The sequence below is a fragment of the Homo sapiens genome, chromosome 7 (assembly GCF_000001405.40).
Source record: "Homo sapiens chromosome 7, GRCh38.p14 Primary Assembly".
In the NCBI taxonomy this organism is placed as follows: Eukaryota; Metazoa; Chordata; class Mammalia; order Primates; family Hominidae; genus Homo; species Homo sapiens.
The window spans coordinates 116,235,070-116,259,641 of record NC_000007.14 but is presented as its reverse complement, the minus strand read 5'-3'; the positions used below and the strand labels follow the sequence as shown (position 1 = coordinate 116,259,641).

The 24,572-nt window shown below is 37.6% G+C and overlaps 1 protein-coding gene and 1 long non-coding RNA gene across 5 annotated transcripts in view; one reads left to right on the top strand and one right to left on the bottom strand.

Annotated features, from left to right (window-relative positions):
• Positions 1–858: 858 nt before the first annotated feature.
• TES (testin LIM domain protein) overlaps positions 859–24,572 on the bottom strand; it is a 48,245-nt gene continuing 24,531 nt past the window's right edge. For both annotated transcript variants that reach the window (NM_015641.4, NM_152829.3), the window contains exons 3-7: positions 10,370–10,622; positions 9,146–9,481; positions 7,667–7,882; positions 7,166–7,324; positions 859–2,348 (exon numbers count right to left, since the gene is read on the bottom strand). In NM_015641.4, coding sequence (NP_056456.1) covers positions 2,160–2,348; positions 7,166–7,324; positions 7,667–7,882; positions 9,146–9,481; positions 10,370–10,622 — 1,153 coding nt within the window. In that variant the 3' untranslated portion in view covers positions 859–2,159. The remainder of the gene's footprint in view (positions 2,349–7,165; positions 7,325–7,666; positions 7,883–9,145; positions 9,482–10,369; positions 10,623–24,572) is intronic.
• LOC124901730 (uncharacterized) lies at positions 2,338–23,774 on the top strand. 3 transcript variants are annotated; one of them, XR_007060484.1, is made up of 4 exons: positions 2,338–4,524; positions 15,706–15,800; positions 20,396–20,627; positions 21,366–23,774. It is a non-coding gene; the product is annotated as an uncharacterized LOC124901730 (long non-coding RNA). The 3 variants fall into 3 exon arrangements; XR_007060483.1 differs by having other exon boundaries at positions 21,310–23,774; XR_007060485.1 differs by having other exon boundaries at positions 20,393–20,627.

The window sequence follows — 24,572 nt, the reverse complement described above, 5'->3', positions numbered from 1 at the left end:
AACTTTGTGGACAATATGCTGTGGAAAATATATTTGTTGCCATTTAAGATAAAGATATGAGCAACCATAAAGCGATCTTTATAGACAGTAATGATACTTGTGATATTAGCTTCTAAAATTATATGCAGAATTAGATTACTTTAGATAAGGTGACACGTATCCAAGCTCCAAAAGTTACTTTTGCATGGTTGAAGGCATAGTGCAGAAGGAGTAAATTTGTATGCTTGGTATGCACATGTGCATGTGTGTGTGGTGGTGGGGAGTGGAGAGGTGGAATGTAAAGAGAAGTACTATTGGCCAAACAGGAGCTGGAAAAAAAAAAAAGTCAAGTTATTCTGGGTATGTATCAGAGAAAACTGCAACTCCCACTATGACAGAAATAATTGTAGACTGAGGGAGAAAGTATTATGGCCTGCTAACATTAGGAAGCATGAGTCTACCACTATTCCCCATTTGCTTTCTGTCTCACGATAAGTTTCCATGAAAAAATTCTTCTTTTAATATTTTTTACATATAAAGAAACCAGAGTTGAAACCCAAGTATAAAAGGCTTGTTAGATCCAACTGAATAGAAAATAAGCTCTCCCAAATTTTAATTAAAATTACTTTCCCTTTCTTTGAAAAAGAAAAAAACTCTTGCATGACCAAACTTAAAAGTCCTGATTTGAAAGTTTCATAAACCTTATCTTTTCTCCATAATGAAACATCTAGATTCTGTGCTGTCCTGTCAGAGGCAGACTTTTATTTTCGTTTGGGTAATTTTTATCCTTGGAGACATCGCCCCCTGCTGTAACACATGCTTAGTTGCAGAAGCATTTTTCACTCAAAAAAGGATATGAATAAAAAGATACAATGATTATTAAAGTGAAAGAAACTTTATTTTGAGTAATATACATATCATTCATTCCATTTAATTTTCATAGTGCATAGCTATGTGTAGAAGTACACAGGGAAGAATAAACATTAGAAATACCTAGCCATGAAAATATACAAGTGAAGACATTTGATATATCCATGGACAGGCTTGGAAGTATTATAAAACAGGATCCATTAGGAAAGAATAAAAACCATGCAAAAAAAATCTTATCTAAATCATGGCAGGCAAGTGCAATCAATATAAATCATAGTCTCTGGGTACAAAAACTATACATGTTCTTTGGATTAAAAGCAAATGGGTGGCTTGGCTTTTATGTCCAAGCCAAAAATCATCTATACAAGTAAAAAGTGTGTGGGTCAGGCATGGTGGCTCCCACACCTGTAATCCCAGCACTTTGGGAGGCCAAGGCAGGCGGATCATCTGAGGTCAGGAGTTTGAGACCAGCCTGGCTAACATGGTGAAAACCTGTCTCTACTAAAAATACAAAAATTAGCTGGGTGTGGTGGCATGCACCTGTAATCCCAGCTATTTGGGAGGCTGAGGCAGGAGAATTGCTCAAAATAAAAAAAAAAAAATAAAGAACTAAAAAGTGTGGATACTGTTATGCCACATGTGATAATAAAATATTCAAGGCCACAGATGCAAGTCACCAACTTACAAAGAGAATACTGAAGGTAGGGTACATTAAAAAAATAGAGAAATGCAATAAAGAAAATGCCACCTCTGCCTAAATCAGGAAAGAGTAAATGCATAGGCATTAAAACAGCAGCTCTGCATACTACACTGCATTTCTCTTTGTCAAAAAGAATTCACTGTGTATCATTACAAAGGTCAGTGAATAAGACGAGGCAATAAACGTAGCGCCTTGGTATTAGGGCAAATTTAGTTTTCTTTTCATTTTACACATGAGGGGGAAAAAAGAAGTGTAGAACTAGGAATGCTCATCTTTCCATTCAGTACACTAACTTTTAAGTGTGTGGCACAAATGGAATAGAGACATGAAGTTTAATGAGATCCAAGCTTCCAAAAATGATTTCACATTTGAAAAGCTATGGAAAGATACAATTATTTACTGTTTTACAAATCAAATGCTTAAACCAAGTTTAAAAGTTGAGACCGAAAAAAAATTGATGAAGAAAAAATGGCCAAAAAAATTAAACAAAATCTCTTGGTTTCCTTTACAGTTTCTTTTTTTGCGTTTTATTTTTTTCAAATTGCATTTTACAGTAGAAATGCAGACCACTTTGGATAGCTATGGCTCGATACTTCTGGGTGCCCTCCTCCTAAGACATCCTCTTCTTACATTCCACTGAACAGAAAACCATCCCTTCTACTGGCATGAACTTCTGCCCAATGAGGCATTTGCTGCAGCAAGAGCACAGAAAGCACTCTGTGGATGCATGCCAGCTGAAATTGTTATAGGTCACCCGCTGCACTTCTGGGTCGATGGCATTGTGGCATCCTTGACACACCTATTAAGAAATAATACAAGAGAAGAGGGTGAGAGATCAAGCTGTAATGGTAACATTTTCATCTTAGGACATATTTCTTTAGATGATAAATTAAAACTCATAATGACAACCTCAGAAATACACAATGGAGGGTGGCCTTCTAGCTAACCTTTTTGGCCAACTGTTAATGGAGGTCAATATTCTGAGCAGCCTGAGAAATAACGAGTGAAGGCCAAACAGGTGATTTGATGCATGTAAGATAACTTCATGGCATTCAAGGCAGAAAGTCTTGATGGGAAGTTCCAAAGCAGTGTGCTTAGTTCTGATGTATTTTATTAGATTGCACATTTGTAATTACACAGAAGTTTATGATTTTTCCTTGTTCATTAAAGCTTTGAAGTGGTAATTTTACCTGTCTTACCTATGACACATGAGATTATTAACACCACTAATTTCTAGACAGTAGTAAATTAAAATCATGTTCAAAGTAATTAAGGACTCAATTAAAAATACTGACAGTGTTTGAGAAAAATGAATTTGCACTAAAAATATAACTTGTAGTTAATTGGCTTCTATTCTGTCATAAGATCAGTCATAATTTATGTGTAATCTAATATTGTAGAACATTAATACTTACAATCCCTGTACCATTCAGTATGTGTTATGTATATATACATGACATACAAACATGTATATACATACACAAACATACATACATTTACACCACAAAATTTTCTTCTTATTCAAACATGCACATGAGGAAAATGAATAAATAACCTATGTTATAGCAGAAAACAGAAAACCAGTTCGGACCTCTGAAACACTGGATAGTCCATGCCTTATAGTTTATACATGTTCTGAATGAATATGGCTGTCTTAAAGTTTTTGTTTTAAATATTTCATAACAAGTGAAGAAGCCAGCAAGACTGTCTGGTATCACAGTGACTAATCTTAAGCACCCTTGGTCTCGTAATGTGATTGTCAGGAATTACTGAGGGATAAGGGGTGGGAACAGGTGAGTGGAGGTCATTCAGCTTGAGCCTCCTTACTTGAAAAGACTTCAAAATGTGGCTGCTACTCACTGGGTAATTGGTTTAGGCAGTGAAGTGAGGCCTGGTTATATATGTCCATTTCAGACCTGCATATTTTTGTTACATTGCTTCTGATTACAGAGATTATAGCTCTGTAATCTATAAGTTAGGTCAACCCAGTCTTCCCTGAGATACAATGAAAATTCTTTGATCAACACACTATTCCTGAATACTATAAAAATGAACGTTTCAATTACAAGCACATTTCTAATGTGCAGCTGCACCATGCAAGCAACTGCTTTTTGTATATATTTTTATAGCTTTATTATGCATTTAGAATGTCTTATTTTCTGCATTTCATATTAATCTTTCCATTTTAAAATTTATGATCAACACATAATTGTACATATTTATGGGTGTACTATGTGATGTTTCAATACATGTATACATAGTGTAGTGATCAAATCAGGGTAATTAGGATATCCCTCTCCTTAAACATTTATGATTTCCTTGTGATAAGAACAGTCTTTCAATATTTCTTGTTTATGTATTTTGAATGTGTTCTTGTAAAATACACCGTGTGTTTTATTCCCTTGCTTTCAGACCATGATCTATCTTCTTTTTCTCAGACCTGTGATTTTTTAAAATTACCCAAAACACACATTTTCAGTTGCAATTTACAAAAAAGAGATAACTAATGTTCAATTACACATGAAATTAAGAAAATTAAGCAAAAAGATAATTAGTACACATAAATGGTATAGAGAATTAAAGTCTGGGGTTTCATAAAATTTCATTTTACTAATAATTTGATTACCATTCATTCAAAATCTGACATGTAATCACAGGTCGAATCTACTGTTCCCTAATTCCTCAAAAATCTAAAATTGGCCCAGGCTGCGCCAAGGGCCTGGGGACTGCAGAACCCTTCAGGGAGATGATGTGCTTCACCACTTCCTGCCTGCCATTTGATCTTCCCATGTTCCTAAACCTTTAATATTTCAAAGAATTCTTATTTCCTTCAATCCCTCTTCTTATTTGTACACAGGATGTAAAAGAGCTAATGACACCTGTTGTAATGAGCTCTCTGCAGGAGTGTCCTATGAATCTGACGGATGTGAATTCTGGGGGTAACTATGGAGTTCTAGTGACTACACAGAGACAAAGTAGGTGCATCTGCCATGTTTTTTCCTTCCAGGTACTTTTTTTTTTTTTTCTCAGAAATGTTGTTTGGAGTTGAGCACTTGATTTCAGGTCTAAAAATAATTTGTATTTTCTCTCTTTAAGATGAAAAGATCTAAGCAGATCAATGCCCTGAACTAGATAACCTTCTCCAAATTTTATATAATGTAGCATGCTGTGTGGGTAGCTCTCTTTGCTGTTAGCTGGAATCTGTTCTGGCAATGGATATGTATGCTCATTTTAATATTAGGCAAAGGCCAATGGTATATCCCACTGAGAAAGTAAACATAAAAGAAATGATGCTACACACACACACACACACACACACACACACACACACACATATATATATATTTTTTTTGAGACGGAGTGTCGCACTATCAATCACCTGGGCTTGGGGTGCAGTGGCAGGATCTCGGCTCATTGCAACCTCCACCTCCCAGGTTCAAGCAATTCTCCTGCCTCAGCCTCCCAAGTAGCTGGAATTACAGGCACCTGCCACCACGCCCAGCTAATTTTTTTGTATTTTTAATAGAGACGGGGTTTCACCATGTTGGCCAGGCTGGTCTCGAACTCCTGACCTCATGATTCGCCCACCTTGGCCTCCCAAAGTGCTGGGATTACAGGCGTGAGCCACCATGCCTGGCCAAAATGATGCTATGCTATAAAACTAAATAATTTGAAAATTCTTTTATTTAAACAAATCATATCTGTGGTTATACCCTGCCATTGATTAGAAACAATGTAATACAGAGAAGCTTGTAACAGCTAAAAAAAGAAAAAAAAGCAGTTTCATCTGTTTCAATAAATTTTTATTGAGCACCTATGTTGTCCTAGTGTTGGGAACAGAATAGAAAAGGCAGATAAAAAAATCCCTGCCCTGATGGAGTTACATTCTAGTCCTTGAGACTAAAGGTCAGACAGCAGCAAAAAAAAAGGTATACATTATAATACCTTTAGTCTGTAGAAAAACTGTTGCAACAATATTCATTGAAGCAGTTTTTAGCTAAATAATGTATCAGGTTACATGGTGATTTGACGTCTTGTTCCCTAGGTAAAGGAATGACCATGGTAACCCCAAAGCGAGAAATATTAAGAACACGAGTCAGTCACTCAAACATTTTCTAAGTGCTGACACTGAAGATATAGAAAGCAAGATATAAGGCAAGCTCTACCCTCCAGCTGCTTACAGTCTAGTGAAGGAGACAGATGAATGATATTCACACACACACACACCCCCACACACCCACCCACACACACACCATTGGGAACATGGAGAGTCTGGAGGAAATGGTGGAGTTTGGGCATAGTGAATCAGGAAAGGTGTTCCGAAAAAAAGTTAAACCTAAACTGAATCTAAAGGAATAAATGTGTAGGTACAGTCAGGTAAAACAGGGAAAAGTACGGTGTATTAGAAAAACTATTAGGAGTAAGCAAAAGACAACAGTGTGTAAACTAGAAAATGATGGTGAACGTGTGGAAATGTATGATTTGCGTTGGATAACTAGTAGAAGGGACAGGAGAGGCAAGAAGGGGCCAGATCTATCAAAAGTTTAATAATTTGCATTTTAGGAAGATAATTTTCCATCATTATGGTGGGTAGCTTTTGAGCAAGATGAATGAAAGTGGAGGAACGAAATTTGAGGCCACTGCAATAGTCAAAATAACAACAAAAAAAAAGGTCTAAAGTAGAATGGTTGTAATTATAAGAATGTGAAATATATTGGTGAGGCACAGTTGATAGAGAATGAATAACTGTATCTGGGGCAATGGGTGAACGCTGAAAATTGGCATTGACATAAAAACTTGTTACCTTATCTTCACAGTACCACACTCTTATAACTATATATAACTATATAAACCATATGTAATTTCATTCCTTAGCCAGGAGTCCCTTTTACTTGATAGCTCAGGGGACCATTAACACATATGTGTTTTGCTGCATATAAAGAAGTAAATGTCTATTTGGATACTCCTGGATTATACACTTTACCATCTATGGTCAACTTTTTACCCTTTATCTACATTACCATCACTTGGCCATTATACAACAGCAGCTCTGTGTAAGCAGAGTAAATGCAAGAAAAAATATACTTTCACATTGGAATGTTTGGCCCACACAAAAATCTAAATACGCAGGCCAAGTTTTGTTATGCTAAATCAATTCAATGAGGGTTTAAGAAATAGGTATCTTACAATCTCCAGGTAGCAAAAACAAAATTCCAGTGGGTGGTCCAATAACACAAACAGAAAGCATCATATTCAAATAGAGCTAAAGAATATCAATAGCCCCTAGACACCTTTATTGAAATGGAATCTGATTGCTAACCATGAAAATAAAACAATCTCATTCCCATTAAGAATTTTTTTAAGTGAGGATTTTATTATTAAGCAGTACCTATAATTGATATTGTAAATTTCACAAGTAGAAATCTTGAGGTGGCTCATAGTCAATGCATGTATTGTTTTTGAATTGCCTTGATTTTAACACCCTGTGGTAGGAATAATTTGCTTTCTACTTAGGAGGACTGCTTTCTGTTTCCCATTTGTAAGAGGCTTTAAGAAAAGCATAAACTCAAGTCCTAAAGCAGGCTGAGGCAACCATATCCTTAGAACACTTCTCACCACAGCGTGATTCTTCACATAGCAGGGCTTGCACACGGGCTTGTCATTGACCATCACGTATATCTCCCCAGCTAGAATGCTATCACAGTCAAAGCAGCAGAAGTGTTTCAGGTGCCAATTCTGGTTTTCTGCCTGGGTATACTCATTGCTGAATATCAGCTAGGAAGAAGATAAAAATAAAGATGGATTTTTATATAATAAGAGATTTATATCTGTAACAACATACTTTCTCAGGGTCTAAAGTTTGAAAATGATAACCTAAAGCTTGAACTTATGCTATCACTTAGTTTAGTCTAAATCAATCTTTTATATTTCTAGTCTTTCATTTGTCAACCCAATTAACACAGACAGAATGAATGATATCAGAAGTTTATTTTTTAAAACTTCTTTGGATGTAAACAGAGCAACTGCTGTTTGGTCAAGTCTTGTTGCCTTCTAGGTAAAGGGACCATATGAGGGTCTAAGAGGGCACCAGCATGCCGGTGGTCCCATAGAACATACCTCGTCACAGCCAGCACATCGGGGTTTCTCGCTGTCACAGTAATGTCTGCCACAGTATAGCTTCTCATTCTTCCAAAAATAAATCATGTCAACCAGGAGTTCATGGCAGGTGCTGCAGACAAAACAAGCTGGGTGCCACAGTTTATCATAGCCAGCCCTTTCGGCATAGATGGCTGGGTCACCTTCTTTCATACTCAGTTTGCAGCAATAGCAGGACTGAAAGGGAAGCCATCCAGAACAACCTAGTCATTAGAAGACTGCCATTTCTTTTCTTTCTTTCTTTTTTTTTTTTTGAGACTGAGTCTCACTCTGTCGCCCAGGCTGGAGTCCAGTGGTGCTATCTCGGCTCATTGCAAGCTCCGCCTCCTGGGTTCACGCCGTTCTCCTGCCTCAGCCTCCCGAGTAGCTGGGACTACAGGCGCCTGCCACCACGCCCGGCTAATTTTTTTGTATTTTTAGTAGAGACGGGGTTTCACCGTGTTAGCCAGGATGGTCTCAATCTCCTGACCTCGTGATTCACCCGCCTCAGCCTCCCAAAGTGCTGGGATTACAGGCGTGAGCCACTGTGCCCAGCTAAGACTGCCATTTCTTATCATTGACTTCAGTAGAAATTCAGAGAAACAACTTTGAAGAGACATAATTTCTACTGAAATTACAAATTTGTCGATGTAGATAATAACGTATTAATAATTCTGTGAAATGGAATCTCAGCTTTCTCCCGGCTATTCAAATCTACTTCATTCACCCTGTGTGTAACAGGCATTATTTCCTGAATTAAGGTCACTTATGGAAAAAGGAAAATAGTAATTTTCAGGTCAATTTTAAGTAGATTCTCTAAAACTATCACCTCAGGGCTTATTAGTGCTCTTTTTTCAGGACTAAGCCTTATTGGTTGGTGTGCTAACTGGAGCTATGAGGAATATATTACAGCAGGTTTAGTTCTTATGTCTGTTCATCTGTGTCATAATTGCCTCCTACCATCAAGTCATTAGCAAAATACTTCAATTTCTCCCTTTAGAAGAGACTTAAAAAAAAGCTTCACTATATATCCACAAAAATTAAATTTAAGTTTGAATTTTAGGCACGTTCTCACAAGCAAAACTGAATTAACCTAAGCATATATTCCTATTTATGGGCAGCAGAGATAAGCAATTAATACCAACATTATGATTAGAAACAGACTATAGAATAATAATGCTGTCTTTGATCAGCATGCCAATACCAACTACTGTCTGTACATAAAACTCACTATCCACAATTATCCTTGATAATAAATACATAGAAAATTTGGCTTTAGACAGAAGTTTCAAACACGATGACCCTCTGTGGGAAGTCTAAACTGAATCTAAATCCTATTTATTCCCCATACTTATTCCCTTTTGGAAACTCAGAGGAATAGTCCCCAAAAAAGTTCAAAGTAAGGGAAAAAAATTCTGTAAAGTATACAAATCAGGCTAACAGTGTGACCACTCTACTTACATATTGAGTTCTTTTGTGCTCAGCAGATTTGTCCTCCATGGCCCCCACTGCTGCTGGGGTGCTTCTATCCCCTCCAGGAATGTTCATTTGTTTGGGGCCTTGGGCATCCATCTCACAGGGAAGTTTGACATCTCCTACTCCCAGAGCTTCGCTCTTATATTTCTTCACAAACTGCTCCATCTCCTTCACCTCTCTGGGAGACAACTCATGGCACTTTGAAGGGTCCTGGTCATGTGCAGGGAGCTGCTTTGCCAGCTGCTTCTTCCGGTACTGTGCCCCCTCTGAGCCTGCTACTGGCTGCTTTTCCTTGGGTAGCATCTGCATGTACTGCCTGGCCTGAACCACAAGGAGGCCAATGTTAACTGGGATTGGCCATTAGGCAGTGTGATGTTTCATAACACACATCAGAAGCAAGTTACTTAAGAAAGAAGTGGGTTCTATCCAATAGCAGCAACTCACCCTCACAGTATATTAAGAAGTTAAAACTCAAAAACGGTACACTAAATAGATTTAGTTGGGTAAAAAGTAACACTTTCTCTCCATGAAATTATATATTTTTTCAGTTTGTAAGATCTGAGTTACTACTGTTTACTTAAGCTAAATAAACAAATGTACAATTGAAAGAAAACATAAACTTTTAGGCAGACATGTTTGGAATGGTCTGTAGGACCAGGAACATTTTTATTACATAAAAAATGATATCGCAAAATTCACTTTAATGATTTAACTAACCTTAAAAGACTTCCAAATGTTTCATTTGGTTGTTATAATAGTGGAAGGAGCTTGATATAAAACTGTGATCTTTTTGGTCTTATATAGTATTAATAAAGGAAATGAAAAAAACACAAAGATAATGTTGAATATTTTTTTCAGTTCTAAACTATGACAAAAATTCTCTTCTTTACCATCTTAAGATAAATCCTCTCAAGACTAAGCTAGAAGAGTTACTAGATTGATATAAAACATCTGATTTCCATCTAATTATTAAGAACGTTAGACCATTCCCTCAAAAAGGTAAACATATCTAGGGAGTTGGAAAAATTTTATGAAGTATCTAGTCTTACATTCAAAAGACTAGAACAGGAATCAGAAGTCAAAGTAATGAGAACCCCGGAAGAATAACAGATCTGGGATGTGTGAAGTTGATTAGGTCATCAAAGAAACTGCCCCAAATAAATACTCCAGGAACTTCAATAAAGAAACTCTCTGTTCCATATCATTTACCAATGCTTGATTCTGGACAGGAGGAGCCCACTCATAGGTAACTGTATTGATGGAGACATTCTTCTTGGCAGCAACTGGATTCGTCAATATCATAACATTGCGTTTATACATGGGAATTCCATCTGACTTTAGTTTTGCAATCAGAGTGGTATACTTGGTGTCTTCAAAAAGTTTTCCCACTTTTCGATCCTCTTCATTGCTCAAGAGGACATCATGCTCTTCTTGGCCACACTTGCAGTTACGACATATTTTTCTATAATTTTGAAAATAAGTAGAAAATGATTAATTGTACCTAATTGATATTTATGTTCATACATTTATAGTTCATAAAATACTTTTAGGCCTATTCTATATCATGGTATGCAAAGGCAAGTCCTTTTTTAGGAGGGAGAATAAGTATCCATATATTTAAGCAAGAAGGAAACAAAACACGACTTTGCTTGATAAGGCTTTTAAAAGCTAGGTTGTAAAAATTGAAAGAGGGACCCAATTAAACTGAAGAGCTTCTACAAAGCAAAAGAAACTGGCAACAGGACAAACAGACAACCTATAGAATGGAAGAAAATATTTGCAAATCCTGCAACTGACAAAGGTCTAATATTCAGAATCTATAAGGAACAATTCAACAAGCAAAAGACAACCCCATTAAAAAATGGGCAAAGGACATGAACAGATATTTCTCAAAAGAAGATATACATATGGCCAAAAAATATATGAAAACATGCTCAATATCACTAATCATTAAGGAATGCAAATCAAAACGATGATGAGATGCCATCTTCCATCAGTCGGAATAGCTATTACTAAAAAGTCAAAAAATAACAGATGTTGCGGAGAAAAGGGAATGCTTATACACTGTTGGTGAGAATGTAAATTAGTTCAGCCACTGTGGAAAGCAGTTTGGAGATTTCTCAAAGAACTTAGAACTATCATTCAACCCAGCAATCCCAAAGGAAAATGCATTGTTCCACCAAAAGGACAATGCACCCGTATGTTTATCACAGTAGTATTCACAATAGAAAAGACATGGTGGAATCAACCTAGACGCCCATCAATGGTAGACTGGATAAAGAAAATGTGGAACATATTCACCATAGAATACTATGCAGCCATAAAAAAAGAATGAAATCATGTCCTTTGAAGCAAAATGAATGCAGCTGGAAGTCATTATCTTAAGTGAATTAATACAGGAAAGGAAAACCAAATACCACATATTCTCACTTATAAGTGGGAGCTAAATATTGAGTACACATGGACACAAAGATGGAACTAACAGACACTAGGGAATATTAGAGTGGGGAGGGTGAGAGGGAGAAACGTTTGAAAAGCTAACTCTCAGGTACTATGGTCACTACCTGGGTGATGGGATCATTTATAACCCAAGCCTCAGTAACATGCAATTTACCCATGTAAAACACCTGCACTGCACAGGTACATTCTGAACCTAAAATGGAAGGTGAAAAAAAGAGGAAAGCAGCAGAATTATCAGTCACTAATAATGTATTTTTGGAAATTACTGAATTAAGTTTTGTGATTTAGATGGTACCATAACGTTTCAACTGAATTTTCTAAGTAAGTATTTTAACAAATTCAGTGTGTTTTGTCAACCAAACGTGCATCTGCATTTCTGATATGATAACGAGAAGCAATTATTCATTTGATTTTTATCAAAACCAACCAAGATTTTTTCAATGAATTCACTGAAAGAAGTGGTGATGGCCCCAATAATAGACATCTTCAATTGTACCATTAAAAAAAAAGACTGATTAAAAAGTGCACACTTAAAGGGACATGTCTGAGTGTAACCCCATCTGATATTCCTTATGCTGTCACCCAATAGTGAATAAAATAAATAATAAAAAGAAATGAATTAAATAAAACCACAAAAATTATATGTTTCCTTATTTAAGCAAGAGGCTTTGTACTTTATTGCATGTTAACATTTTATAGCTATTATCCAAGGTTTCTTGTTTGTTTGTTTTTTTAGTGAGAGACAGGGAAACTTTTCCCATCAAAGATTATAATCCTAGATTTAGGTTTACAGCCTTTCTCATTTTTTTCTCAATTTCTTTTGCCCTCCATTTCCTTCCCTTTGTTTTTCCTTTCTCTTTCCTTCCCTTATTTTATTTCTTCAAACACTTATTGCCACCTACCATGTGCTCTCTGCCATCATGGTGTTTCTTATAGTTCAAGGACAATGTTCTCTTCTTCACTCTGGTCTGGCACACAGACATTCATTCATTCATGCAACATACACGAGTGCCCATGTGCCAAGCAATGTACTTGACACTAGGACATAGTGCTTAAAAAAAAAAAAAAAAAAAAGGGGCCTAGTCTCTGATTTCTAGAACTTACTCTCTGGTGGGAGATAGACATTAAATAATCACACACACACACATACACAGAGAAAATTTCATTTGTGATAGGAAAGAAAGTATAGGGTCCCTTGAGAGGGTGTAATTTGGACTTCAAACTCGTGAAGAAGGGACCCCATAAGAAGATGATATTTAGGTTGAGATCTGGACGATGTATGAAACATAGGTGTAAACTGTGTATGTGGGTGTGTATCTGGGGAGGAGAAAAGGAAAGAAAAGTCTCTAGTATTGGGTATAAAGAGGAATACCTTCAGTGGTCCTGAATTAGGAAAGAAATTGTCCCCTTAGGTGTCATAACCAGGGGAGGTTGGTATGACTGTAGGAAGATGAGTCAATAGGAGGGTGATAAGACTGGAGAGGTAGGCATGAAGTCATGCAGGGGCTCATAGAACACATTAAGGAATTTGGGCTTCATCATAAGAGCAATCAGGAAGCAGCAAAGGCTTTTTGGTAATGGAATAAAATGATCAGATCTGTAATTTTAAATATCACAATATCTGCCATGTGGTAAATGGATTAGGGGTGAAACATAACTGGCAATAGGGAGACAAGCTAACATGTTAATTATGCATCCAGTTTGCAATGGCATGGTTCTAAATAACAGGATGCTGCCACTACTTCACAAATGGAATTTACATCTTGGAGGGTTATTGTTGTGGTCCAGGTAAAATATGCTATGGCTTGGATTAGAGTATTCAACAGTGGAGATGAAAAGAAAGGAAGAAATTTGAGGTCTCCTTGAACAAAAAACTGACTAAACTTAGTGGTTTATTTGGACATAGTGATGGCAAAGGGAAGGCTCAGTGATATGGTTTGGCTGTGACCCCACCCAAATTTCATCTTGAATCGTAGTTCCCATAATCCCCATGTGTTGTGGGAGAGATGTGGTAGGAGGTAATTGAATCATGAGGGCTGTTACCCTCATGCTATTCTCATGATAGTGATTGAGTTCTCTTGAGAGCTGATGGTTTTATAAGGGACTTTTTCCCCTTTTGCTCGGCACTTCTCCTTGCTGCCACAATGTAAAGAACATGTTTGCTTTGCGTTCCACCATGTTTGTAAGTTTCCTGAGGCCTCCTCAGCCATGCTGAACTGTAAGTCAATTAAATCTCTTTCCTTTATAAATAAATTACTCAGTCTCAGGTATGTCTTTATTAGCACCATGAGAATAGACTAATAAATACAGTAAACTGGTACTTTAAAGGGTGTGGTGCTGCCATAAGGATACCTGAAAATGTGGAAGTGATTTTGGAACTGGGTAATAGCTAGAGGTTAGAACAGTCTGGAGGGCTAAGAAGACAGGTTGATGTGAGAAAGTTTGGAAATTCCTAGAGACTTGGAGGGCTCAGAAGACAGGAAGATGTGGGAAAGTTTCGAACTTCCTAGAGACTTGTTGAATGAGTTTTACCAAAATGCTGATAGTGATATGGACAATGAAGTCCAGGCTGAGGTGGTCTCAGATAGAGATGAGGAACTTGTTGGGAGCTGATGTAAAGGCCACTCTGGCTATTCAAAGAGACTGGTGGCATTTTGCCCCTGCCCTAGAATCTGTAGGCAGGGGCAAAACTTTGAACTTGAGAGAGATGATTTAGGTTGTCTGGTGGAAGAAATTTTTAAGCAGCAAAGCATTCAAGAGGTGACGGAGGATAAAAGTTTGAAAAATTTGCAGCCTGACAATGCGATACAAAAGAAAAAGTTATTTTCTGGGGAGGGATTCAAGCCCGCTGCAGAAATTTGCATAAGTAACAAGGTGCCCGGATGTTAATCACCAAGACAATGGAGAAAATGTCTCCAGGGCATGTCAGAGAGCTTCACAGCAGCCCCTCCCATCACAGGCCTGGAGGCCTAGGAGGGAAAAATGCTGTCGTGGACCACGCCCAGGGATCCCTTGCTCTGTGCAGCCTTGGGACATGCTGCCCTGCATCCCAGCTTCTTCAGCTCCAGTGGTGGCTAAAAGGGGCCAAGGTATAGCTTGGCCCATTGCTTCAGAGGGTGCAAGCCCCAAGCCTTGGCAGCTTCCATACGGTGTTGGTCCTGCAGGTATGCAGAAGACAACAACTGATGTTTGGGAACCTCTGCCTAGATTTCAGAGGATGTATGAAAATGCCTGAATGTCCAAGCAGAAGTTTATTGCAGGGGCAGAGCCCTCATGGAGAACCACTGCTAGGGTAGTGTGGAAGGGAAATGTGGGGTTGGAGCCCCCACACAGAGTCCCCACAAGGGCACTGCCTAGTGGAGCTGTGAGAAGAGGGCCACCATCCTCCAGACCCCAGAATGGGAGATCCAAGGACAGCTGCAGGCACTCAATGCCAGCCAATGAAAGCAGCTGGGAGTGGGACTGTACCTTGCAAAGCCACAGGGGCGGAGTTGCCCAAGGCCATGGGAACCCACCTTTTTTGCATTAGCACACCCTGGATGTGAGACATGAAGTCAAAGGACATTTTGGAATTTTAACGTTTAATGACTGCCCTATTGGATTTTGATCTCCCATAGGGCCTGTAGCCCCTTTCTTTTGGCCAATTTCTCCCATTTGGAATGGCTGTATTTACCCAATGCCTGTACCCTCATTGTATCTAGGAAGTAACTAACTTGCTTTTAATTTTACTGGCTCACAGGCAGAAGGGACTTGCCTGGTCTCAGATGAGACTTTGGACTTGGACTTTTGAGTTAATGCTGGAGTGAGTTAAGACTTTGGGGGACTGTTGGAAGGGCATAATTGTGTTTTGAAATGTGAGGACATGAGATTTGGGAGGGGCTGGGGCAGAATGATATGGTTTGGCTGTGTCCCCACCCAAATCTCATCTTGAATTGTATTTCCCATAATCCCCACGTGTTGTGGGAGGGACATGGTGGGAGGTAACTGAATCATGGGGCCTGTTACCCTCATGCTGTTCTCGTGATGGTGAGTGAGTTCTCATGAGAGCTAATGGTTTTATAAGGGGCTTTTCTCCCTTTTGCTAGGCACTTCTTGCTGCCACCATGTGAAGAAGGATGTGTTTGCTTCCTCTTTTGCCACAATTGTAAGTTTCCTGAGGACTTCCCAGCCATGCTGAACTGTGAGTCAATTAAAGCTCTTTCCTTTATAAATTACCCAGTCTTGGGTATGTCTTGACTAACTGAGAGCAGACTAATACACTCAGTCTCTTGAAAAATAAAACCAAGTTTCTGGGATGAGTAAATTAGTAGAATGAATATAATTTATTAAGATAGTATATTCAAAAGATGAACAGTTTTGCAGTATGGAGTGGGGAAGGTTGATGGAAGTCTCCAAAATGAAACCACTGATAAATTTGATATGCCTGTGAGACAAGGTAAAGATATCACAGAGTGTAGGATCTATAACTCTCATGTTAAAAACTGTAGCCTGGTAGGAAATATAAATTTGGTGGTCAGGGAACAATATATAATGAATATGAGTTAAAGAGATCATCTGTGCCTGTTGGCAAAAATGTAGAGGGAAAAAGTAAGGACTCAAGAAAGAGTCTAGTAGAGGAAAAGAAGCTGGAAAAGGTGACAGAGAAAAACAGAGGAGTAGGGAGTGGTGTTAAAAATTTAAGCTGGAAGCAATATACATGGCAACGACAACATAACAATAAGAGTGGCGATCTGAGTGTTGTAAAACACATTCTAAAGATACTTACATTGTTCAGTCTATATAAACATGGATTAACATTAGATACAATTAGGCTAAGAATGCATGTTGAAGTAACTAGATAACTAAATAATTTATAGTTTAAAACACTCAAATTAGAAAAAAGGAAAAAATAAAGTACTAAGTGTTCAACTCAGGAAGTTAGGAAAAAGGCATAATAAGCCTGAAGTAAAAGGAAGGAAAATAAAGAGAATAGCAGAAACTAGTAAAAGGAAATAGAAACTATTCTAGAAAGAGTTCCTAGAGGATGAGGCATGGGGGGAACAAACCCAGACACTCAGCATAGATCATACTTACTGCATTAGTTTTAAGATGTGAAGCAAGAAAGCAACCTTGCTATCACCAATTCTAATCATATGGTTCTGAAGGTACTAATCAGAGCAGTGTGAAAAGTTACAAGAATTCATCAGAAAGAAAAAAACTAAACTGTTGCTATTCACAGATGCTATGACCACAGAGAAATGCAATGTATTAATTAGCATTAAGAAGAATTTACTAAGTTTTCTAAATTTAAAATTAATATAAATCATGGAATTTATCTACATCAGAAACAGAAAAAACAACTAAAAACCCAAATGTATCTCATTGCCAAATAATACATTATTAATTATAGATTTTAGTTTGTTGTATTCTGAATTTTCTTAAAATACTTTTCAGTATGCAAACTGAAAATATTAGATTTGACTTGTATATTCCGAGACAGAGACAGAGAGAGAGAGAGAGAGAGAGAGAGAGAGATAGGTGGTGAAGAGGCAAATTGCTTTCCTTGTGCACACTAGTCAGAAATCTTTATTTGGTAAGAATTTGTTGAAGAATTTGCATATGCTAGTTCAGCTATAAAATAATCTTTCTAACATCTGGTTATCTCATACTCCCATCTAGTGGAAAGCAGCAAGTTATCCTACTACAGCATGTTCTTTACTTTTACTCTTTGGTTAACAAAAACAATGTAATTATTTATAAAACTATCACACTGCTTTTGGTTCAAGTTTAAAATTATACCTTCCTGAGGGGGGAAGAAGGTGGAGTGGGAATTTAGTTCTTAATATAGCTAAATAGATCCTTATATGGCTGTGAGCTACAGCATGCATCCCAATAATTAGCAAAGTGGTATCTTAAAGGATCGAGGCCGTATAATAAACACTGGACTTTGGAAATTTTTACAATCTATGTTCTACACCAGTACAACATGAATACCACAAAATAAGGGTCAGATTTTAGAATCTGAAAGATAAATAATAAAAGATACAAGTGAAATAAAGCCTGATGATTTCTGAAGCATGAATAAACTATGGTGAGCTGTGGCTTGGTTAAAAAAGTTATATTTACTGTGAAAGTGTTAAATATAAAGAGTTAAATTTACTAATTATAGAAGAACCAGCTCTGTATTTTTTTAAATTATTATTTGTCTTGACAATTAGAAGAATTCACAATCTCAGGAAGCCTCTGCTTTTCTATCAATGCCTTTAACCACCCAACATACCTTTGTTAATAAGTGAGTAAAATCAGGTTAAAACAACATACCAATAACGCTAGTGGTAAGAAAAAAGAAATACCTAAGAAGTCATACTATGCCATATAATTTTCAGTTTCCTAAGTAGAGAAAACCTATGATTGATTTGTTATAATTTTAAAAATCATGACTATATTAAAAGCCTCATCTGCATCCTCCAATGTGGTGAATTGTGGTGACAGAGTCCTTGGTAAGAATGTGACCCAAGAAGGGTGGGATGGCTCTTCAACTAGAGCTGTCATCATTAAAACAGTTGGGATGACCACATCCCTTCCAGAAGCCTTACACTGGAGCTCCATTTCTACAAGGAGAAGAGCCAGCTACAAACTACTCTGCAAGAAAACATACTATAAAATCAGCACCAGGTGCCAGGAGCTATCTATTGTGGAAATCTGTGCTATTACCACTTACCTAGTTTTAGGTTTTAAAAATATTTTTCTTAGAGTTCTAATCTACAGTGTTTTATATTTGAGTCTCCCACATTTAAACTAAAACATTTTACTTTTAGAAATACCTATAAAAACTTTCAAAGTCATTTGGAAGCAATCCAATACATTTATTAAAAGAAAAACCTTGTTGTGGAATTGGAGAAGAAAAGGATGCCACTGTGATCTTGTTATCCAAGAGCGGCCTGAGAATAAGTGGGACGTTTATCACATATTCAATTTCAGCCTAAACTAACCCAGATTCTACCCTTAAGAAAATGAAGAACTTTAAAAACGTGGTTTTATACAAACCTAAAACAAAAACACAAACAGAGTATGGGTGAGCACAATACCCATGTGCAAGGGGCTGTTTGCACGGTGTGTGGATTATCTTTCATCAGATGATCCATAAGTAACTTCTGATGATATATATAGATTTAAACAGCTTGTTTATTTATTTGTGCTATACTGAGTTGATAGTTTTAAGAGAGTATATAAATCAGTTCCCATATTTAACACAGTTTTCAAACCTCTAAATTTTCTAAACTGTCCTATTGAGCAGTTCTCTCTCCAGATTCTCCATAGGATGTTAAGAAAAGTTCTATGGGGAAAAAAAGGGAAGGGGATTCAGAATTAAGTTAGTTTAAAAGTCTTTTTCATGATTCTTTTAAAAAGGTGCAAAGGTGGATTGGCAGATTGGGAAGCTCTAAGGTGTGGGGATGGAGGAGGGTTATTTGTATAAAAAGTTGTTTGTACAAAAAGAATTTAGCACCATTAACACATATATATGCAAACATTAATATGTATGGAGGAAAGGGAGGAGCGAGGGGGAGGGAAGGAGTGAGAGAGAGAGAAAGAGCGAGCCTGGGAGAGCGAATGCAAGAACAAAACTACCAAAAGTATTGCCTCAGACAAATAAACATATTTACATTTTCAAGCTGAAAAAAATCAAGAAACTATCCTTTATTCTCCCAAAAGAAATTTTTTTGTATCACTATTTGTAAAACTTACTATTTTTCCAAGGCAAGCAGTAGAAACTAGAGTGCTTTGACATGCTGCCAGCATTCACAGTGATTTAAAAGCACGGCCATGGCATTGCTACAAACCATAATTTAAAAGGGTTGGAAGCTGCCCTTTTGTAACAGGGATATACATATATGGATTTAAGTGTGGGCCTCTGTGACAGAATTCAACACAAGTATTAATCCATTTATGGTAGGGAATTTTTAGTTTTCACCCAGCTCTAAATCAATCAGAAATTCTGAACAGATGTATGTTATAATCAAGTAACGCATTTTTAATAAAATGCAACTGTTTTATTAGGAGACTTTAACAAAGGTAAAGCAAAACAATAATTCTGTTACTTAATATGATAAATGACATGGTTGCAATTATATTAATTATACCTTCAATGTGAAATAACTGGCTATAAACTCCTGGAAACCTTGGGTCTGTGTCATACATTTCAATAAACACTCTTTATCTCTATATATTACTTGAAAGCATTCCCAGCAGATAGTGTTTCTTATTGGGTCATTATTAGGCTTCCTGAACCTTTTATTTTCCTCTACTGTTGTAATCATGGGCACACTGAAAAAGGAGAGAGCTCACAGTAAAAGTACACCTTTGTCCACAAGGATGTCTGTGTCACAACAATCACACTTCAGAGGCGACAGCCTGGTGCAGTTCAAAGTTCACTGGCCCTGAGAGTGAAAAATGTGCATTCTAATATCTACTCTGCCATGGAGAAAGGTTTTGGAAAACTCTGAGTTCAAATTCAGCTCTGCCATCTATAAGCCATAACTTTAGTAAGTTATTTAACTTTCCTACGTCTTTGATTTCTCATACATAATAAAATAAATATTAGGAGGATTAGGTACAATCAGGTACATACAGTGCTGTGGTAAGCAGAATGTTAACATGGCCCCTATGACTTCTGTCCCCTGGTGTTACTTTCATGATTATGTTACTTTTATATGGCAAATGGGAGATTTTCCAGGCGTGCCTACTCTAATCATGTGAGCCCTTAAAAAGCAATGAATTTTCTCTGGCTCGCAGCAGAAGAGGAAGTTGGAGGCATGTGAGGTGCAGGAAGGATTCTAAGCAGTGGTGCTGGCTTTGAAGATGGAAGGCATTGTACCTCAATGAATGTGACTGGTTTCTAGAAGCTGAGAGTAGCCAGCCCCCAGCTGACAGCCAACAAGGAAACAGGGACCTTGGTTCTCCAACCACAGAAAATAGATTCTACCAACAAGAATGAGCTTGAAAGCAGATTCTTCCCTCGCACTTAAAGGTGAGTACTTTTAGCCTGGCCAACACCTTCATTTCAGCTTTTTGAGGTGCTAAGCATAGACAGCTAAGCCAGCTCCCCTATCCCAGACTTCTAACCTGAAAAATAATGGATGTTGGCTGGGCACAGTGGCTCATGTCTGTAATCCCAGCACTTTGGGAGGCTGAGGCTGGTGGATCTGCTGAGGTCAGGGGTTTGAGACCAGCCTGGCCAACATGGTGAAACCCCGTCTCTACTAAAAATAGAAAAAATTAGCTGGGCGTGGTGGCGGGCGCCTGTAATCCCAGATACTCGGGAGGCAGGCAGGAGAATCACTTGAACCTAGGAGGCAGAGGTTGCAGTGAGCCGAGATCGCACCATTGCACTCCAGCCTGGGCAACAAGGGTGAAACCCCATCTCAAAAATAATAATAATAATAATAATAATAATAATGATGGATGTTGAGTTAACAGTTGTTGCTTTAACTTGCAAAGTTTGTAGTAATTTGTTATGCAGCAGTAGAAAATTATTACAAGTGCTTACTGGTGTGTGACACATAGAAATCATTCACAAATTATATTATTAATAACTCATGGGCTCAAACAAGTCATTTTAACTTCCTTTGGTTTAGGTCTTTGATCTGTAAAATGAGGTTAGACTAGTTAAGTTACAAGTTCACTCTAAATTCCTAATAATTAATTTTTAGTCTCCTGCAACTATGGTGATACACCTTGATCCGGCATCTTCCATTCACCTCTCCAGATTCATTCTCCATGCCTCAGTACTCTGTGCTATTTCCCAGAAGGCTGATCCTTAAGGACTACACCTGTGGGATCCCTTGTCACTGGCAATGGGACAATGGGAGGTGCCAGCAGAAAATCAGAGTGATGAAGAATGAGGTCTGGGTATTTATCTCCTGGCTTTCTGTAAGTATACAAGGTGATAAAAAGGAAAATGATTCCTAACAACTTGGGGGTATGTGGAAGCAGGGGAAGGGGGTGCTGTGGGCTGAACTGTGTTTCCTCAAAGTCATATGCTGAAGCTCAAACTCCTAATGTGACTGTATTTGGAGCAGGGGCTTTTAAGAAGTAAAGTTAAAAGATGTCACAAGGTGAACGTCACAATCCATTGGAATAGGTGACCTTATAAGAAAAGGGAGAGAGATCTCTTCCTCTCCAGACACACACACACACACCCACACACACCAAGGAAAGGCCATGTGAGCACGTGGTGAGAAGGCAGCCGTCTGTAAGCCAGGAAGAGAGACCTCACCAGAACTCAACCATGTTGGCACCTGATCTCGAACTTTCCAGCCTCTAGAACTGGAAGAAAGTACATTTCTGTTTAAACTACCAGGTATGTGATATTTTGTTATGGCAGCCTGAAAAGACATACATGGGCAGGGAAGACTTCTCAGAGGTATTTCTTGAGCTGAGACTTTTTGTTTCCTAGTGGTGGGAGGTAGGGTTTTCCAGGCAGAGAACACCATGCAATAAGGCACAAAATTTCAGGGAATAGTATGTATCAAGCACTTGGATCATAGAGTGCTTGGAAGGGAAGTGGAAGAGGCTGGAAAAGCAAGCAGAGGCCAGATGTTAGGGTTTAATGTCAAAGGCCAAGAAATTTGCCTAAAAGAAGTCCAGTGGGAAACTACTGAGGGTTCTTAAGTCATCTGAAGTATGTAATAGTATCCATGTTCAAAAGACCATTCTTGTGATTGTGTGAGAGGCCAGACTAATAAAGAGGTAGAGAATAATTTAACTCTGATTTTTGAAATGTGCCCGATGGAGCCCTCAGGGTCCTAAGTCAAGGATCACCATGAAGCTGGAGGAGGAGGCTAAGTGGGCAGGGTCATGGGATCCCATGTCTACTTCACCCACATAAGTTCTGTGGCCCTAGACTAGACCTGGAATCTTTGTTACACTCAGGACAACTAGTCTAGAATATTTTACTTCAAAGACTGTACTGAAAGAGGCTACATAGGGAGGTCAAAGGCACCTGCTTCAGCTCTTTTAGCTATGGTGAAAAAGTCAGGGAATTATCAAGAATTCTGAGAGAAATGTGACTGGACCCATGCCAGGAAGATGTCAGAACTACTAAGAAATACCAATGGGGTGGACTGTTATCAACCCCAGCTGAATGACAGGCCATATGCAAAGTCCTAGACTATTATGGCTCTTAGATTTTCAGACTACACCCAGTTGATTAAATGAGTCTGTGTGATAAATTGAAATGTAAAAGGTTATTTTCATGCCATGGAGATCTGCTCTTGTCGGATATATTTTCATCTGAAAATATCGATTAAAATGATTAATATAGACATAACAAAAATGACTAACTTGCTTTAGAGAAAAGATGATATCTCTTAGGAATGAGCTTTAAAATCTCACGAGCGGTTTTTGGCAACTGCATAGCAGAACTAAAAAGAATGCAGGTTAAGTATCTCTTACCCAAAATGTTTCACAAGTAAAATAAAACAGAAGTGTATCAGATTTCAAATTTTTTTTAAATTTTGGAATATCTGCATAAACAATGAGATATCTTGGGGATAGGGCCCAAGTTTAAACATAAAATTAATTTCTGTTTCATATACAGCTTATGTACATAAGCTGATGGTAATTTTATACATATTTTAAATAATTTTGTACAAGACACAAAGGTTTGAATGCATTTTTGAATGCAACCTGTCACACGGTCAGGTATGTGAAATTTTCCACTTGTGGCATCGTGTTGACACTCAAGAAGTTTTGGTTTTGGAGCATTTTGGATTTTGGATTTTATGTATTATAAGATTGTAAGGTAAAAACTATGCCCAGGAGAGGGCAGTGCAGCCTTCTGTAAAGTTAACTAATAGGCCCAATAGAAAATAGTGTGAGCATTAAGAGCAGAGATGTTCTAATTCATGAAAACTATTTTGTGTTAAGTCACTTTACCTTTTTAAAACATGAGAGACATACTGCCACTTCTATGTCCCTTGAAGAGACAGCACAAGGGAGAGCTGCTTAAGTCTTGTAAAAAAAAATTCTGGAAAACTTTAGCTCCCTAAAACTGAAGAATTGTATCAAAACTGAAGAACTGTATCAGTTCTAGCAGGTTTCTACTGACTTTCCTATTTTAAACAATTATCTTTGTTTCTGAAAACTGATTCAATAAACTAGTTTTTAAAAGAGATTAATGTCTAAAATTTTATTTGTTTATATTCTCCTTTAATTTACACTGTACACATCTCCAAGAGCTGATGAAAGTATTCTAAACGGTTTCCTGTGGAAATCTGTAGTACAGAAGTGTTTCTCAAATGAGAGTCATCCTAACAAGGTAGCTGCCATCCTAAAACTGTATAGTTATCTTTATTTTTTTTTCCTGCTAATTCTAACTTTGAGCAGACTTGTGAATTACCACTATGGACTTGACAGTCATTCATAAGCACAGGTTTCAAATACTGATTTTAGATTTATATGATATGCAGTAGTACTTTCAAAACAACCTAAAGATAAGATCTATAGAAAATTCACATTTTTGACTCACTAACATTGTCTTGTGTATATATGCACTTCATTCAAACCAAGACACTACAATTAATTTTTTTCTTAAAAAAATTCAAGTGTTTCAATGGTTTTTCACTAGTAACTTTACAGCTAAAAATTTTAAAGAGATCTAAATTCAACTTCATTTCCTGATAACTAACATATACATGCTTGATTCAGTATTCATATTTGTTTACGGAAAATGTAGACATGAGATGTAAAGTTACCAATTTTTAAGAAGAGAATAATTAAATTATTAAACAGGGCCAGGCATGGTGGCTCACGCCTGTAATCCCAGCACTTTGGGAGGTTGAGGTGGGCTGATCACTTGAGGTCAGGAGTTTGAGACCAGCCTTGCCAACATGGCGAAACCCCATCTCTACTAAGAATACAAAAAAGAAAAATTAGCCAGGTGTCGTGGCACAAGCCTGTAATCTCAGCTATT